The following is a 20,371-nucleotide window of genomic DNA, read 5'->3' as shown; positions in this document are numbered from 1 at the left end:
CAAAAATACTTTGATTTAGCGCTTCATTAAGTGCATGATTATCTGCATCTTTTGATTTACCTTTCTATCTTCACAATTTTCAGCTGAGATACTTAGAGGTCACATAGTAAATTAAGGTTTTCTTTTGAGAGAGTAATGGGGAAGCAGCCCCACTTATCAAGGGACGTGTGCATGAGTTCAATAAAAAGTTTCAGATGTAAAAAAAGTTGAGAAAAATTATAATTGCCCTACATATACACATCATCAACAATTTTTCATTCATGGCATGGACAGTTTTTTGGTTTTTGTTGTTTTTTTGTTGTTGTTTGTTTTTAAAGGTGGGATTTTGCTGTGGTCGCCCAGGCTGGAGTGCAGTGGCATGATCTTGGCTCACTGCAAATTCTGCCTCTCAGGTTCAAGCGATTCTCCTGCCTCAGCCTCCCAAGTAGCTGGGATTACAGGCACCCAGCACCACATCCGGCTAACTGTTGTATTTTTAGTAGAGATGATGTTTCACCACGTTGGCCAGGCTGGTCTTGAACTCCTGACCTCAGGTGATCCACCTGCCTCCGTCTCCCAAAGTGCTGGGATTACAGGCATGAGCCACCACACCTGGCCACAGCCAGTTTTGTTTCACTTATACTCCCACTTCATTTATATACATTCCTTCTTCCTCTGAATTATTTTGAAGTAAAATCTACACATCATATCATTTTTTAATTACCGTATATGTATCTGTAGAAGACAAGGAATTTTTAAAAATAAATATATTCACAATGCCATTAAATACCAAAAAATTAATATTCTGAAAATAGCCACAAATCCAGAGTTCACATTTTCTTGACTTTCTCATAGGTGATTTTTCTTCTAGGTTTTCTATTTAATCAGGTAACTGTTTGCTCATATTTACATTCCTTACTGAACAATGTTTAACTTAAAACTGACATAAAACGCACAGGATCTTCTGACCAAATGCTTAGTGCAAGAAAAAACTTCAAACTGCAACACGAATCCCTCCAAATATAGAAAGGACCAGTATTTTAAGAGGTATGTTAACTAAAATGTGGCAATGTAAGGAGCAAAACAGGAAGAACCTTTAAGTCCTAAACTTACAAGTCGATTTCCTAGTCAGTTTCCCTGGTCCTTCCACAACAACCTCTGGCATCTGTTTTCTCTACAATGGAGGTAACAATAGTAGCTATTCCAGAGCAGGAAAAGGCTTAGAGCAGTGCTAGAAGAGGGTCGTGGCTATATAAAGTTTAGCTATTTGTATATTTTAACAAACCACCTTTTTTGTTGTTGTTGTTGTCAATAATAGATTTCTTTTCGAAAAGTAGCAGCCTCCTGTCTGGGGACACCTGCAGTTCCACTAAGTGAACATTGGTGTCTGCTCACCTTTGCCTCTATTTCTCTCAATAATATACTGTCAAGCTCTGTTCCTTGATTTAGCAATTTTATGTACTTTTATTTTTTTTTTCCTTTCTGTTTTCCTGAGACATAGTCCCGCTCTATCGCCCAGTTTGGACTGCAGCAGCGCCATGATGGCTCACTGCCACCTCACCCCCACCCCTCTCCGGCTCAAGCAATCCTCCTACATCAGCCTTCAGAGTAGCTGGGACTACCCGCCGGGCCCACCAGGCCCCGCTAATCTTTGTGGTTTTTGTTTTGTTTTTCAGTTAAGGGACTGGGTTTCGGGCCAGGCGCGGTGACTCAGGCCTGCAATCGCAGCACCCCGGAAGGCCGAGGCCGGCGGGTCACCCGAGGTTAGGAGCTGGAGACCAGCCCGACCAACATGGAGAAACCCCATCTCAACCAAAATAAATAAATAAATAAATAAGTAGCCGGGCATGGTGGCTCACACCTGCAATCCCAGCCACTCAAGAGGCTGAAGCAGGAGAATCACCCAAACCCGGGAGGCGGAGGCCCGGGGAGCCGAGACCACGCCACTGCACTCCAGCCTGGGCAACAAGAGGGAAACTCCGCCTCGAAAACAAAACAAAACAAAAAAACAGGTTTCACCATGTTGCCCAGGCGGGTCTGGATCTCCTAGGCTCAAGCAATTCACCGCGCTCAGCCGTCCAAAGTCCTGGGATCACAAGCGTGAGCCATGACACCAGGCCGATCTATTCCTGTCTGATTAAAAATTGGGCCGGGCGTGGTGGTTAACGCCTGCGATCCTAACACCCAGGGAGGCCAAGGCGGTCGGATAACCTGAGGTTGGAGTTTGAGACCAGCCTTATGAACATGGAGAAACCCCATCTCCAACAACAAAAACAAACAAACAAAAAACAAAATGAGCTGGGCATGGTGGCTCACGCTGCAATCCCAGCCACTCGGGAGGCTGTGGCAGGAGAACCACCCAAACCCGGGAGGCGGAGGCCCGTTGAGCCAAGACCTCACCACTGCACTCCAGCCTGGGCAACAAGAGCCAATCTCCGCCTCAAAACAAAAAGTGATCGGGTTTCACCATGTTGCCCAGGCAAGTATGGAACGAACTCCTAGGCTCAAGCGATCCGCCGCGCTCAGCCGTCCAAATTCCTGGGATCATAAGCGTGAGCCACCATGCAAGGCCGATCTATTCCTTTCTGATTAATAAACTGGGCTGGGCGCGCTGGCTCACGCCTGCAATCCCAGCACCCCCAGAGGCCGAGGAGGCGGGTGGATAACCTGAGGTCGGGAGTTTGAGACCAGCCTGATGAACATGGAGAAACCCTGTCTGTACCAAAAAAAAAAAGAGAAGAGAGACCGGGTTTCACCATGTTGCCCAGGCCGGTGTGGAACTCCTAGGCTCAAGTGATCGATCCCCCGCGCTCGGCCGTCCGACGTCCTGGGACCACAAGCGTGAGCCACCACGCCAGGCCGATCTATTCCTTTCTGATTAATCAGTTGGGCTTTGTGTGCTGGCTCACGCCTGCAATCCCAGCACCCCCGGAAGCCAAGGCGGGCGGATAACCTGAGGTCCTGAGTTTGAGACCAGCCTGACCAACAGGTGGAAACCCTGTGTGTACCAAAAAAAAAAAGAAAAAAGAAAATTAGCCAGGCATGGTGGCTCACACCTGCAATCTCAGCCATTAGGGAGGTTGAGGCAGAAGAACCATCCAAACCCAAGAGGCGGAGGCGGCGGGGAGCCGAGACTGCACAACTGCACTCCAGCCTGGGCAACAAGAGCGAAACTGCGCCTCAAAAACAAAAAAAACAAAAAAAACGAGAGAGACCGAGTTTCACCATGTTGCCCAGGCCTGTCTGGATCTCCTAGGCTCAAATGATCCCCAGTGCTCTGCCATCCAAAGTCCTTGGATCACAAGCGCGAGCCACCAAGCCAGGCCCATCTATTCCTCTCTGATTAATAAATTGGCCTGGGCTGCGGTGGCTCACACCTGCAATCCTGTAGCGGGATTTTTAAGGAATTAGATAGACTCATGGGATTTAGGAGAACATTTATTAATTATTTAGGTGCACCCGCCCAGTCGGATTAACATTTAAAGGATTGAGTACTGAACCAAGAGTTACCTTTCAAGCATTATGTGGGGCGAAGGGGGAGATCTGTGCAGGGAGAAGCATATTATAGAAGCGAGAAACAAAGATACTTATTTAATTGAAACATACATTATATTATTTTTTACTATTTAAGGAAAAATATGTTTTGTGACTTGAGTTTATTTAGTGACCTTGCAGTTGCACAGTTAGGGAATTAGTCGGGCATGGTGGCTCACACCGCAATCCCAGCCACTCGGGAGGCTGTGGCAGGAGAACCATCCAAACCCGGGAGACGGAGGTCCCGCAAGCCGAGACCTCGCCACTGCACTCCAGCCTGGGCAACAAGAGCAAATCTCCCCCTTAAAAAAAAAAAATGTGACTGGGTTTCACTATTCTGTCCAGGCCGGTCTGGAACTCCTAGGCCCAAGCGATCTGGCGCTTGATGTCTTTAACCTGTGATTGAAAGCATATTAAGATCTTGGGTGTATCAACAGTCCAGAGGTCAAGAAGGAAACTCCTGGAATGTGAAATATTCTGCAACAAGAAAGGCAATTGGAGAGGTGACTACATTCACTGCAGTTGTTTTGCCCTCTTCTTTCTCCTCTCTCTCTTTCCTGGAAGTCCCCTAGTACAAAGTAAAAGAGATAATGGTTTTGGAGTGCATGTTTTTCCTGGAATTGGAAGGAATTTTAACAAAGGAGCCCTTCACAATGAAACCCCCCCACACCCCTGCTTTTCACCTGAAGTAGGACAAGATCGGCGCCCCCACCATCATTCTCCACGTGACCCCAGGTGGGGATGGGGGGTGGACACTACTGATAACCTCTTAGCAATTTCCTTCTTTATGGACTCTGAAGCTCCTTAGCTTGACAACTGATGAATAAGTTTTCTTTTGTGGGATAAGAGTAGATAAGAATTTTCCCCCTGAATTCCCGTCCTCGGGCCAGGGAAGAGAGCCCAGGATCCCTTCTCTTGGCCTTCACACTGCGGGAAAGAGTACCTAGAGTTAAAAGCCTGATAAATGCCCTCAAACAGCTTTGAAAATCACGAGGTCAGGAGATCGAGGCCATCCTGGCTAACACGGTGAAACCCCGTCTCTACTAAAAAAAAAAAAAAAAATACAAAAAATTAGCCGGACATGGTGGCAGGCGCCTGTAGTCCCAGCTACTGGAGAGGCTGAGGCAGGAGAATGGCGTGAACCCAGGAGGCGGAGCTTGCAGTGAGCGGAGATCGTGCCACTGCACTCCAGCCTGGGCGACAGAGCGAGACTCTGTCTCAAAAAAAAAAAAAGTGATTATTATATACTTTATTTCAAAGATGAAATGTATGACCATACAGCAAAATAAAATTGGGATAAAAAATAACCTGAAAATCAGGAAACAGGAGAAACAGTCTAAACATTTAGTTTTGTGGTCTTGCCTAATTATTTTTCTTATGGTCAATAAGGAATAATTTATAATGACCTTATTCCTGAGTACCTGGAGACTTCTAAGAAGTTTTTAAGAATAGTTTTATGTTGAAGAATCATACCACGAAATACTTCCAAGATATATCTGTGTTGCCATCCTAGTTACTATAAACCAGAGAAAAATATTTTAATTACTCTTTTTAATGAATATGTACAAAAATGCTTCATTATAAATCTAGAATATAGGAATATGTTCAGTAATTGATTTTTGCAAAAGTCTGTTATTATTATTTTTCCCTAAAGCAGGGAGAGAACTGTAGCTTCATAATCTGAGATATCAGGTAAGGAAGTCCTCCCCTATTCTTTCTTAAGGAATAAACTTTTTATATTCCTCTCTCCAGTCTCTCAGAGACAGCATCAAATAACTCCCCTATCCTCTGTTGGCTCCATCCTCGGGGGCGAGTGCTATTTCACATCTTACTCTTAAATCACTTTTAAGAAATAGACATAGCTTCCACCAAAGAGGAGCCCTCCCAACAGACCTCTAATAACACCAAAGGGTTTCCATGTGTGCGCCCTTAAGTGAACATACACAAATGAAATGAATCTACAGATTGGTTATGAAGCCAGTTTTTATGTGACACATGAATATCAGTCATATTAGACACACTCCTGCCGAGTACTGTAACAAATCTCTTCATTTTTACCACATACATGAATAGCTGTCCCATATATTCATAAAATATAAGAATTTTTTTCTTGATTAATAAACTTCATTTTTTAGAGTAGTTTTAGACTCACAGCAAAACTGAGTGGAAAGTAGAAGAGTTCCCATAGACTCCCTACTCCCATACACACACAGCTTCCCCCACTGTCAACATCCTGCACCAGAATGATGCATTTGTTATAATCGATGAACCTACACTGACGCATCACTATCACCTAGAGTCCATAGTTTACATTAGGGTTCGATAAAATAATTTTTTACAACTTAAATCCCCCAATAAACTTAACATTACTTCTCTGGGCCATACGTTTTTCTGCATCAGTAAAATGGGATAAGAATATTTATTTGGAGCTGGGAGTGGTGGTGCATGCCTGTAGTCTCAGCTTCTTGGGAGGCTGAGGTGGGAGGATTGCTTGAGCCCAGGAGTTTGACGCTGCAGTGAACCATGATTGCATCACTGCACTAAAGCCTGGGCAGCAGACTGAAACCCTGTCTCAAACAAAACAAAACAAAATAAAACAAAGATAACAAAAAGGTAATATTTATTTGGAAGGTTTTGTGAGTATTATTTGGGATACATTATGAAAAGTGCTAGCACATTATGAGTATTCAGTTATGGTTAGTTAACTTTATCATTAAGATCGTTATAACCTGTAGGAACTGACCCTGCTACCCCAATCCTGTCTTTGAAGGAGCAAACCCATATGGAAATAAAAATGACCGGCTCCCCTCCCTGCCTTGACCTGTCATTTGAGTCTACCTAATTATAAAATGAACAGGGTTTTAAGTTTTGAACCTATTCCCTGTCATGGTGGGTAGAAAATCAATCACTACACCCCTATTTATAGAACAATCAGAACAGAGGAAAAGACCCGATTTTGAATTCCAGCCATACATTAATTGTGTGCCTTTAGGAAAATCACTTAAGCCTGTTAACATTCATTTTATTCCACTGAATAATAATACACGAAAGCACTTTATATACTTGAATGAACTATGCTCATTTACAGGGTTCTGCGCATGACACTGCATCTGTAAAACAGAAACCAACAAAGTGAGGGCAGAATGAAAAAAAAAACTTCCAGAATGTTCTTCCTTTCCTCAATGCCATGCAGTTTGTGCAGTCAGCTGATTGGCTGAAAAGAGTCAGTTTTGACGACTGATGCTTCCTGCTTATGTTTAGTTGGTTTAGGAAGCTCATTAGGATGCTATCTCGGAGATGAGTCTGGTGGGTAGAATATCTGATGACTGTAAGGCAAATGTACTTCCTTCAGCTGGTGAATTAATTTCTCAATAGACTCAATTTGCTTTTTACCAACTGTCTGGCAATATCCGATATTTGCAATAGTCTTTCAAACACTTGCAATAAAATCTGGCTCACACACACAATCTGTTAGTGGTGAAAGAGAAACATTCATCACATTCAAAATTCTCCAAACATGAGAGCAGCTGAATGTGCTTTAAGACAGTATACCTAATGATACATCTCTATTTTCCCCTTCCTCTTACAATCATTTACACAGATATATGAGAGGTAAATATGTGTTTAGAAAGTATTAGTCATCATAGATGTACCTCCAGTCATCTATTCAACTGTAATCATGGTAAAATATGCACTTGTACAACTTTATACTATCAATGAGTATAGGTAGGTGAAAATTAGTGTTGCCAGAAAAAATCCAAACCAGAAAACTGAAAGTATAGAAAAATTATACGTTATGTCATTGATAAACCATTTAAAAATAATGTCACGTATAGAATAAAAAATTCCGTGAATATATACATGCAAATTATACATATATGTGAATTTAATTTTATTGAAAGGTAATTGGCATCTGCAATTTCATGCAGTCTAAGTGAAACCCATAAAGAAATGTGTATGAAATAGGAAAGCAACAAAAGCTCATAACATTTTAAAATTAGAAATCAGATTCAAAACCAATCATGATCTATTTTAAATTTCTCCCTATAACATTTCAATTGAGACATAAAACACACTTTATACAACATGCCTCACTATTTTATTTACAGCATGACTTCCCTTTCCCCAATCCCCAAACCATGTTCCCATCTACACCGCACCCCACCCAACTCTCACCTCTTCCATTAGCATTATTACAAACATATTTTACAAATCTTATATCAAGCTTTTCCACTCTGTCTCTTTTAAATGTAGAAATATCTTATATATAAACCCGAATACCACAAATCTTCACATTTATATTTTCTAAAGCAGTTAAATCGTTATAGACAATTCTACCTAAAAAGCAAAATGCGCTTGACAATATGTCATGTTATGTTAAGTTGACCAGACACAGAAGTCATTTCTGTCGGATTTCTTGTCGATGTTTGCATTAAGTTGGAGCTTTCTGATCTCGGCTCCTGTTGTGCCAGTAATTTGAAAGGTCACCTCTCTGTTGGCCTTTGGCTTATGCAATGCAGTCTGTCAATTAAAAGTCTCAGCCGGGCGCGGTGGCTCACGCCTGTAATCCCAGCACTTTGGGAGGCCGAGGCGGCCGGATCACGAGGTCAGGAGATGGAGACCATCCTGGCTAACACGGTGAAACCCAGTCTCTACTAAAAATACAAAAATTAGCCGGGTGTGGCAGGCGCCTGTAGTCCCAGCTACTCGCGAGGCTGAGGCAGGAGAATGGCGTGAACCCGGGAGGCGGAGCTTGCAGTGAGCTGAGATCGCACCATTGCACTCCGGCCTGGGATACTGAGTGAGACTCCGTCTCAAAAAAAAAGAAAAAAAAAAAAGTCTTGTAAATTTGTACATAGAATATTGAAGTTAGAAGAGGCTTTTCACTCTCTGGGCTCTAATACTGCCCAGAGGTTGTTTCTTGTTCCCATAAGAAAATCCTGTATGTCTCTCCATTACCATTCCTGATCCTTACCTCCAATTCAAAATGTGGCCAGTTCCACCTTCTAAGCCTTTATACCAAATTGACTGGGTAGGTTTATTATGAATCTGTGTCCTTGTCCAAACTCTACATTAGACCTCCCAGGAGAGTTCAAACTAAAAACTAATGAGTAAGTGCAATATTACAATTGAAACGGGAGCAAACATAATTTCAAGTAGGACTCATAAAAACTGTGGGACCAAAAGAGGAAAAGTGCACGCCGAATGTTCTCAGTTCTGAAATGGCTCTTGTGAAATATCTATGTGAAAACACTTCAAGGACCTAAAAAAAAAAATGGTGAAAAAGCGAACAATCTTCCTTGCAAAACAACTCCAGAGTTAATGCCAGAGCTTTCTATCAAAACATCCATGCTAAATTCACCGGAAAGATTCAGAAGATCAATGACAGGAGTAAGGGAAAAACAAGGACATTTTGTGAGTGGAACATATAATGACCCTGTAGCAGGAGACCCAGAGAGGGGGAAAAAAGAAACGGAGGGTGTAAGTAAATTAATTGCCTGTAACATGTTTAATGAAATAAGTAGACGTGTGATGCAAACTTCTTAATAGTCAAACATTATGCAACATATGATGCATAAGAATTGTACTATCTCAAATTTTTTTAATGTGAGATTTTCTTGATGCCACTTTCATTTACCTACACACACACAAATGGCACAAATCACATATACATATACTGACACGAAAATACATATGTGGGAGGGAGAGAAAGAGGGAGGAAAACGTTAATCATGATACATTGCCAGTGTAAGAACTCCCTTTTGGCCGGGCGCGGTGGCTCACACCTGTAATCCCAGCACGTTGGGAGGCGGAGGAGGGCGGATCACGAGGTCAGGAGATGGAGACCATCCTGGCTAACACGGTGAAACCCAGTCTCTACTAAAAATACAAAAAAAATTAGCCGGGCGTGGTGGCGGGCGCCGGTAGTCCCAGCTACTCGGGAGGCTGAGGCAGGAGAATGGCATGGACCCGGGAGGTGGAGTTTGCGGTGAGCCGAGATCGCGCCACTGCACTCCAGCCTGGGCGACAGAGCGAGACTCCGTCCCCCTCAAAAAAGAAAAAAAAAGAACTCCCTTTTTAGAAAGATCTTTTATTCAACTTACCAAAATTTTAATTGCCAATGACACAGAAACCAGCACAAATAAGAACTTGTAACTTACCCAGGTACAAGTGAATTTCTATGACTGAAATTCAGGGGCATTCTAAGCAAGAATAGTTCAATAGAAACTAATCTCATTATTTTTCATTTTTATGAAGTCATATTTATTATTCGTAGTGTGGTTTCTCATCAAGGAGTTATTTAACATGCCAAATGCCTGCACCTCTTTAACTAGGTCTTTATGCATAGGGAATGTTTAAATATCCACAAAAGTAATACATACTAACCAATTTTTTAGATTTTAACATATATATTTGAAGATACGTTTTCCCCAAATGTACAGTTCTTTGTGGCCTGGATTGCCTCAGGAAACTGCCTCTGCCTTTTGTGGGTATTATGGCAAGCAAGGGCACTGGTAATTTACTGCTGAGAAAATGCCTAGCCGTTTGCCTGATTATGCCACGTCATCTTCCTGACACTACAGAGCACGGTAACCTCATTTCCAAAATCAAAGAACAAATCTGAACGGCTACTGTTCCTGAGGCAAACAAGTGAATAAATTCCAAAACATGCCATGGACTAATTGAAGATGAATTTCAGACAATTCTTTTTTTTTTTTTTTTAGATGGAGTCTCGCACTGTCGCCCAGGCGGGAGTGCAGTGGCGCGATCTCCGCTCACTGCAAGCTCCGCCTCCCGGGTTCACGCCATTCTTCTGCCTCAGCCTTCCGAGTGGCTGGGGCTACAGGCACCCACCACCACTCCCGGCTAATTTTTTCGTATTTTTAGTAGAGACGGGGTTTCACCATGTTAGCCAGGATGGTCTCGATCTCCTAACATTGTGATCTGCCCTCCTCAGCCTCCCAAAGTGCTGGGAGTACAGGCGTGAGGCCCTGCGCCCGGCTGGATTTTAGACAATTCTATGTCGTCTGTTGAATCTATCATCTGTTGAATCAGCTTTCTAGTAACCACACACTATAGAAGTGAAACCAACCTGTACTACCAAGAGTGTATTAATTTTGCATGCATTTCCTAGTAAACAATGTAGACAGTATTAATTTTTATGTTGCCAAGGTCATAGTTTTGTCCCTCAAGTCATCTGCTAAATTTTGCCTCACCTGGCTCAGTCAGAAGGAACAGAATTGACAATATTAACTGGTCTCAGTTATCTCCACTGACATAAAAAAAAACGTGTATTTTCCACACGGACTGTGGGAATCAGCATTTTCTGTTATTAACTTAGATTTTTTTCTTGCCATTTCTCTTTATGATCCCAATGTATTGATGTATTTCTAACACTACAACAAGATTTGTGTCACTCAACTGTATGTGTTGTAATCATTATCTTTTAACCATTTATCTCCATGAAACTGATGTCATTGAAAGATAGAAAAGAGAAACAAAAAGCATAGAAGGGAGAGAGGGAGGGAGCAAGACTTTAGTCATGATACAATGCCAATGTAAGGGCTCCTTTTAAGAAAGATTTTAAAAAATTTCTTCTTCAAAATTTCCATTGCCTCCTTGAATGAACTGTGAAGGATTGCAAATTCCTTTAAAACTTGGTTTTGGCAATGACTCTGGATTTCCTTCATTAGCCAGCTATGCAGAATTCATTTTCCAATGCTCTATTAAAAATAAAAGGCCGGGCATGGTGGCTCTCGCTTGTAATCCCAGCACTTTGGGAGGCTGAGGCGGGCGGATCACAAGGTCAGGAGATCGAGACCATCCTGGCTAACACTGTAAAACCCCGTCTCTACTAAAAATACAAAAAATTAGCCGGGCGTGGTGGTGGGCGCCTGTAGCCCCAGCTACTCTGGAGGCTGAGACAGGAGAAAGGCGTGAACCCAGGAGGCGGAGCTTGCAGTGAGTCGAGATCACGCCACTGCACTCCAGCCTGGGTGACAGAGCGAGACTCCATCTCAAAAAAAAAAAGAAAAGAAAAAGAAAGAAAGAAAATAAAATAAAAATAAAAAAGGGAAGATTCCCTTAATGTTTCCCAGTCTATTAAAGGTTTCCTTCCAAAAGGAGCTCATTCTGATCCCATTTAGTACTACACCCTCGTGTATGCCAGATGGCACAGGCATCATAGCTTCACAAATGTCATTCTGATTCTCACCTTTAAAATGAAATTCCCTTAGTCTACCTTTCTTTACATAAACTACAAAATTGTAGACAAAGATATGCCAAATTAAAAGCCTCTTTTGCTAAACATTCTAGAAATAATTTGAGAAAAATGGGCACAATTTGAGACCTTAGTTGTCTTGGAAAGGGGGTAGGTGGGTATTTGACTATGATTCTGGTCGCTATTTCTCCTGATAACTATTTAAATGTGTGACCTTAAAAGAAAATCATTCAGTCTTGTTGAGACTAATGTCTCATCCAAAAAAAGTACTTAAAATTTCTCCTATGTGTCTTATAGCGCAAAAATGTTCAATTCTGTTTCAAGCCATTCTAACATTTGGTTTATAAACAGGTATTACATCATCAAGGCTTACTGCAGGCCTCTGCGATCTTTATTTCAATTTCATTCCTTTTTAGGCTAGATGTAATTTTGGGATTTTAAAAATGGAATTATATGTTGTTATGGGTTGAACTGTGTTTTTCCCGAAAATATATGCTAATGCCCTAACCCCCAATACTTTAGAATGTGACCTTATATAGAAACAGAGTCTTTACAGAGGTTGTCTAGTTAAAATGGGGTCATTAGGGTGGGTACTAATCCAATATTACTAGTGTTCTTATAAAAAGGGGAAAATTGAACACAAGGGGAACATGCACAGAGGGAAGACTATATGCAGACACTATATGGAAGACTGGGCTGACACATCTGTAAACTCAGAAACACCAGTGATTTCCAACAAACCACCAGATCCTGGGAGAGATGCAAGAGACACAGACAGCCTCCCTCATATCCTTCTGGAGGAAACTACCTTGACTACATCTTGTTTTCAGACTTCTAGCTTCCCAAACCGTGACACAATAAATGTGAGTTGTTTTAAGCCACCCGGTTTGTGGTACCTTGGAGAGCAGCTCCTACAAATGAATACATTGTTATAGACTAAAAAGTGCATCAATCATAAGTGTACAATTTTTATAATCTTTCAATATGGACTCAGTCATGTGACCACCATAAACAAGAGCACCTCAGAAGCCTCTTTCATGCCTCATTGATTTTCTTCTACCGAATAGAACACTTTTCTGACTTCCTCTACAATAGATTCATTTTTCCTGAGGAAATTTCTATGAATGCAGGCATATTTGTGACACCACAGATGTAGCAGCAGTTCTTTAATTGCTGTATTTTATTCCACTCTATCAATGATCCATAAAATATTTTTACATTCTGCTGTTGGTGGACAATTGAACTGTTTTGAGTGTCTGCATATAAAAATAATATTATAATGAAAGTCTTTTGGTGTAAAAAATTCCCAGTCTTATCTGTTGGGTATATACTTAAATGTAGAATGGTTGGGTCATAGATAGGTATCTGTAAAACCAAACTGTGTTTTATTAATCTACTCATTTTTCTTTTAAATATTAATGTATAATTTACACATAACAGAGTGTACAGATCTTAAGTATACACCTCATTGAATTTTCACATAGCTTCATACATGGAACAACTCAGATAAAAAATATCTTACAGGCCGGGCGCGGTGGCTCATGCCTGTAATTCCAGCACTTTGGGAGGCCGAGGCGGGTGGATCACCTGAGTTTAGGAGTTCAAGAGCAGCCTGGCCAGCCTGATGAAACCCCGTCTCTACTAAAAATGCAAAAATTAGCTGGGTGTGGTGGCAGGCACCTGTAATCCCAGCTACTCGGGAGGCTGAGATAGAAGAATTGCTTGAACCCAGGAGACGGAGGTTGCAGTGAACCCAGATTGTGCCACTGCACTCCAGCCTGGGTGACAAGAGAGAGACTCCACCTCCAAAAAAAAAAAAAAATCTTACAAATACCCCATAAACCTTCTTCTTGCCATCTCAGTCAACTACAACCCAAAAAAAGATAACTCCTATACTGACCTCTATTTATATAGATTCATTCCATTAATGAATTAATGTTAATAGGCTGTTAATGAGCTTCATAAAAATAGTATCATGCAGTATATATGCTCCTGCATATGGCTGATTTTATTCAATATTAGGTTTTCAAAATTTATGAGATTCTTGTATATACCTATAGTTCATACTTTATAATTTTAATAGGGGTATTCCATTTTATGAATATATAACTGTGCTATTGGATGATTCATCTGTTTCTAATTTTGGGCTACTATAAATAATGCTAATTGAATATGTTATATATATCTTTTGTTAGACTGAAGTACTCATTGATCTTGAGTATATATACCCAGGAGTGGAATTGCTGGGTCAAAGGGTATGCAAACATTTAACTTCAGTAGATCTCGCCAAAAGAATTTTCAAGATGGTTGTTCAGATTCACATTCACACAACAGTCTATAAGAGTGGTAGTTATTCCACATCTTCTGAAACAATCTTCTGAAACAATCTTCTGTATTAAAATTCTGGATTTAATCTTTAAAATTCTGGATTTAATATTTTTATATTTGTACTATCTTTTTTTATTCTTATTTCCTTTTTTGGCTTTTTTTTTTTAATCGCTCTGTTGCCCCTGCTGGAGTGCAGTGGTGCCATCTCAGCTCACTGCAGCCTCCGCCTCTTGGGTTCAAGTGATTCTCCTGCCTCAGCCTCCTGAGTAGCTGAGATTACAGGCATGCGCCACCACGCCTGGCTAATTTTTGTATTTTTTAGTAGAGATGGGGTTTCACCATGTTGGTCAGGCTGGTCTGGAACTCCTGACCTTGTGATCCACCCGCCTCGGACTCCCAAAGTGCTGGGATTACAGGCAGGAGCCACTTCGCCCGGCCTTTTTTCCATTTTTAGAATAATTATTTATTTTTCATTTTATTAAAATACTTGTAATTCCTTTTTAGTACTTTTAGTTATCCTACAGAATATTTATTCTAGACTATTGTGGACTACCTTAAGTACCTTAGTTATCCTAGAGGATATAATATTTATTCTCAACTATTGTGGACTACTATTTCTGAAGTATGTTCGTACTTTTTCCACTTCTCCAACAATGTAAGGACCTTAGAGCAGTTGAACACTATTTAGCTACTCCCACTCTTTGTCATATATTTTATTCAACATTTAAACTTTGTAAAAGACAAGTTAATTATATTTATCCTTACTTCTCAGGTTTATTTTCATGGTGAATATTCTTTATAAATTACTTTTCTTTAATATCTTTCGGATTTTTGTGTCAATGATTACTGGCTTCCCACAAAAAAATTAAAGTGTTCTTTCTTTTGTATTATTTCCTGAAAATGCTTGTGTAAGACTAGTTCAATTAGTTCCTTAAGTTTTGGTAAGGATTCACCAGGTAATCCACATGTGGTTGGAATTGTGTGTGTGTGTGTGTGTGTGTGTGTGTAAAATGTGTTAATCATAAATATAGTTTCTATAATACATACAGAACTTACTCAGATCTTTAGAACTTCTTGTGCCAATATTTTAAGGCTTTTATTTCAGTTAATTTCATTGCTTCCTCTAATTGTATGCTTCTCTCTGGGATAATTTTTTCTTAGTCTGAAGAACTTTCCTTAGTATTTCTGTAGTTCAGTTCTCCTAGGCAAACATTCTCTCAACAATTACTTGTCTGAATATATTTTACTGCGCTTCACTTTTATGTGTTTTTTCACTGGTTATTAAATTTTAGACTGGCAAATTTGCCCCTCAGCATGTTAAAATGCCATTTCATTGTCTCCAGCTTCTATTGTTTTTGTTGGAATACTTATTTGTGCTCTTTTACTTACTTTTGAGAGTTTTGTTTTGGTTCAGCAGCTTATAATCTGGATAGGTAAAGTTTTATTTGTATTATATTCCTTAGGTTTTGTTAAGTTTCTTGCAAGTAGGTTGATATTCTTTATCAATTTTACAAAATTTTTGACCAACGGCTCTTCCGATATTGCTGCTTCTCCATTCTCTCTCACTTGTCTTTATGTCCAGTTTAGTTATAGTAGATGTTGTGACAGTGCCTTATGTCTTTTTTGTTCTGCTTTATTAAATCTCTTCAGTTGAGATTATTTCTATAGATCAATTTATATTATTTCTATGAATCTCTTTTCAGGTTAACTTGTTTTACTACATTTATTCTAAAGCAAACCTATTCAGTGACATAAGTTCAATTATTATGTTTCTGTTTTAGAATATCTGTGTGACTTTTTACAGATATTTAAATCTTCGCTGCACTCTCCATCATTTCATCCAGTTTGCCTACTTTTATTATATTAGCAACGGTCATTCTAAATTTGTCTGCTAAATTCTGAACTGTGAATCAGTGAGCTGTGCTTATTGTGCACATGTGTTTTGATTAATACAATTTTTGCCACTTCACATATCTAGACGTTTTTTGTATCATGCTGGACATTGTGTATAAAAGAATAATAAAGTATTCTGATAATAGTAGTTTTAGAATGTATTCCCACTTTTCTCTATTAAGCAGATAGTGTTGGGAGAAAGTCATTACCAATACAATCAGATATTGGAGCAGTCAGGATTCAGTTTTAGTTTCAGTAAGACTGGCATCTTTGGCTTATCTCTGTTTCTGAAGTTTGTTCCTTTTGAGCTTTTGATTGAGAGCTGGTTGGAACTACTTCTCATTAGTCTCAAAAAATGTTGTTGGAGATTAAATTTTAATTTCAGGGGTATTGGGCTTAGCTCTTTAGCATTTCACCCTATTCAGCTTCAAAATCTTAGAAATGTGTTGAACAAGGGAGTTGGCCATGCTTTTGGGGCAGGCTCTCTTCTTTGCAATGAGTTTGTCTCCCAGTTGCTGTGATACTCTTGAAGATTTTATTCTGTCTCTTGAAATCTTCTGGAATAACTCCTCATTCTTGCATATATCACAATAATTCAGTCAATATGCCTCAGGGAAAATATCTTTTGTGTGCCACTGCTTATTTTACCCCTAATCCATATCTGGGCCAGGCCCAATCCTCAGCCTTCACCCATAATTATAAAAGACACTCAGAGAAACAGTCAGTTCACATTGGAAGGTTCATTAATCTATACATTTTTGTGGACCTATTTTGACCTATGCAACTTTCTTGTCATTCACTTTAAGTGCTTTATGCCTAATCAAATGGCCTTTCTTCAATATTTTTCCCAAAGCATCTCAATATTTATAAAATTATACATCTCATGAAGTTTTTAAAGGACTAAAGAGATCTTTCAAACGTACATATAGAATAAAAAGTCATGTTATCTTTGTTTGCATGCTCATCTTGGGAAGGAATGTACTACTCAAGATTTCTTTTTTTTTTTTTTTTTTTTTGAGATGGGGTCTCACTCTGTCACCAGGCTGGAGTGCAGTGGCGCGATCTCAGCTCACTGCAACCTCTGCCTCCTGGGTTCAAGAGATTCACCTGCCTCAGCCTCTTGAGTAGCTGGGATTACAGGCACATGCCACCACGCCCAACTATTTTTGTATTTTTAGTAGAGATGGGGTTTCACCATGTTGGCCAGGAAGGTCTGGATCTCCTGACCTCGTGATCTGCCTGCCTCGGCCTCCCAAAGTGATTGGATTACAGGCATGAGCCACGGCGCCAGGATTACTTAGATTAAAAGCATGCTGGAATTGGTTCAACAAGGATTTAAGATGGCTGTTCTAAACAGGTTTTGCTAATGATATTCCGAGTCCTCTGACACAGTAATGAAAGTAAAAAGTTCTTGTTAGTATAATAATCATTCTGAGCTATTAGTAATATATATTATTGAGAAGCTACCCTACGGGTATTTAGAAACCCTGGACAAGGGAGAGGCAGTAGATTTCAACCAACATATTCTGAGGAAGCAGCTTAAAATGTGACAGCATATCTTGTGTTTAGGTCAATTGGTCTAAGGTAACTCAAATGTATAAATCATAAAGCTTTAGAGATGTTCTTGGAGAGAAATGTGTAATAACATAGGTGTCAGGAAAACTACTATGGACCACTCTGTATAAAAGGTGCTGGGAGAGTAATTTACTTTGGCCCATAAGGTTCAGGTTAACAGAGGGAGGAACAGCAAACAAATCCTGAGAACCATATAGGAGTGAATGACAGACAGGGATACCAGCATCTATTATCAAAGGACCCAGAGGAAACGGGGAAGAATAGAGAAGAGCTGAGTAAGTCAGTGTTCAGTAGGTTTTAAAAGAAGGTAACTATCAAAGGAGAGGAATATTGATCTCAGAAACATCCTTTCACCTGGAGAGTAAAGATGGCATCAGAAGGAGCACAGGCAAATGAAAACCTTGGTCCCTCCAGCATTGTCTTATTTCTTTCTTCACAAAGTAAAATTTTGTTGAAGACTCAAATTAGCCCAATAATTTCCTGGCCTGGTGTACATTGTGAAAGATAATATTTCACAGTGTTCTATGGGTGTATTTGTGCTTTTTTCTTTAAAAATACAAAAAAACAGTTTTTAATTTCCACATGAATAATTCATTATCATTATAAAATTTTAGCCAATATAGAAAACTTTGTGATTAAATAAAAACTTTATACATTTCAATGTTAAACATCCCTCATAGGGCTTTTATCCCTGTTTACTCACAATTTGTTCATGTCCCTGCACCAGGCATGTGCCCTTAGACAGTTGAAACCTACTTAGATGTATCTGCTATTCTAGACCTATATCTGGTGTTTGGATGCTTAGTTCGGCTCTTCTAATTCAAGGAATATTAATCTTTAATGCATTGAATCCTGAGTACCATTATGTATGTTTCTGCTTCTTGAACCCTGTTTAAGAGACCCCTATTTAGTTCTATCAGGAGAGAATTTAAACAACAAAAGGAACCTGGTGATGTTTTTAAATAATTGATTTTTTTAAACCCCATATAAGTTCAATTCATATTTTAAAAGTTAATATTCTAATTTATACGTTAAGTACCAGTATCTTTTGATACATATATACAAGAGGCAGCATGAAAACCAGTGTTTACTTTTGGTGCAAACTGGCTTCCTTTTAGGGCTGCTCTCACCTGCTTTCACTCATGCTTTCATCCAAGTGTTCAGTATCATACTGTTTTTTAGCTGTTCCCTCCAGCTTTCCTAGAAGTATGCAATCACCCCCCCCTTCCATTATAATTCTTTCTCAATCAATACTACTTTTCCTTCTGAGTAACTTATCCTTTCTAACCATTAGGAAAAAATTATGGCCAGTTGATTAAACCACTTAAGAGTTGAGTGGAAAGACTTATTTCTCCAAAATTGCACTTAAATATTAACGGAGGAGACTGTCAATTCAGAGCCATCTAAGCACCACGATGGCCTCCTCTTCTATATTGTACCCTGCATTTAAACAGTTTTCATCACATACACACAAATGCACACAGATGCATACCCACATGCACACTCCAACTTTTCCTTTCCATTTCTATTGTTAGTATACTACTTGTTTAAGGCAGTAACACCCCATATGTTTTAATGAGTTTTTTTTCTTTCTCTCTACTCAAATCCATTTTATGATGTAGACCAGGGATTGAGAAGCGTTTCCTGTCCAGGGACAGATAGTAAATATTTTTGACTTTGCAGGTGGCACAGTCTCTGTCAAAGCCATAGACATTACGTAATGAATGAGGACGGCTATATTCCAATGAAACTTTGTTTACATGAATGAGCTGCAGACTAGATTTGGCCCATCGGCAGTAGTTTGTTGAGCCTGGATCTACATAAATCTTACTGATTGCAGATTTTCTCACATTACTTATTACTTAAAAATAAAATCAATCATCTCATTTCTTCAACAAACTTAAATAATTTGTCCTAAGTGCAAGACATCTATTTACTTGTCCTGTGATTTCACTACAGAATAAGATGTTAAATTTAGGCTGACATTGAGACACATTTTCCCGTTGTCTTTTTCATATGCTTGCAATCTAGTGAAAATAAACTATTGACTTCTTTATATGTCTAATGAAATATTTTGCTTCCTTTCTAATGCTAATCTCTGTATGTTACTATCCAAAGTCCAACTCACATATACCTTTCCTCAAATGCTAATTGGATGAATTTCTCCATTAGGAAAAATTTCACAACATTCTACTTTGCACTATACCATTTTGAGGGCGTCACCATTTTGAGGGTTCATCTCAGTGTCTAGTACAGATAACATAATGTCTTACACATCACAGTTGCTCGGAAAGTAATTGTTAATGCTTAAATAAAACAACTCTGCCAGTGGTTTTCCTACTGACTTGAACTAAAAATCTTGTTCATTTACCACTTCTCCCTCTCCTTTTCTCTCTTTCCCCCTCCCTTTCTCTCTCCCATCTCTCTATCCTCCTCTCACCCCTATTATTGGTAGGTCCTATAAAATCTTACCTTATAGAATCTCACATTCTTTTACATCATTCACACTGCTACCATCCAAATTCAGATCTTTCATACCTCTTCATTGGACTATTAAAATAGTCGAATTCCTTTCTGTCATTATCTCCATGCCAAACCATCTTTATTATTTATCTATTTATATGTAACATATCACCCCCAAACTTAGCATTTTAAAATACACATTATTTCAATTTTTGTTGGTGGGAATCCACATGTGGATTAGCTGTGGCCTCTGACTCTCACTCTTTTAAAAGTCTGCAGTCATCTTAAGGCTGGACAGGGAATGATTTATTTGCAGACTCACTCACATAGTTGTTGGCTTTAGTTTTGTGCCAGGTGTTGTGCTGTAAACTCCCTTGG

This window comes from Homo sapiens, chromosome 15, assembly GCF_000001405.40.
Source record: "Homo sapiens chromosome 15, GRCh38.p14 Primary Assembly".
In the NCBI taxonomy this organism is placed as follows: Eukaryota; Metazoa; Chordata; class Mammalia; order Primates; family Hominidae; genus Homo; species Homo sapiens.
Note: the sequence above shows the minus strand (reverse complement) of the source record.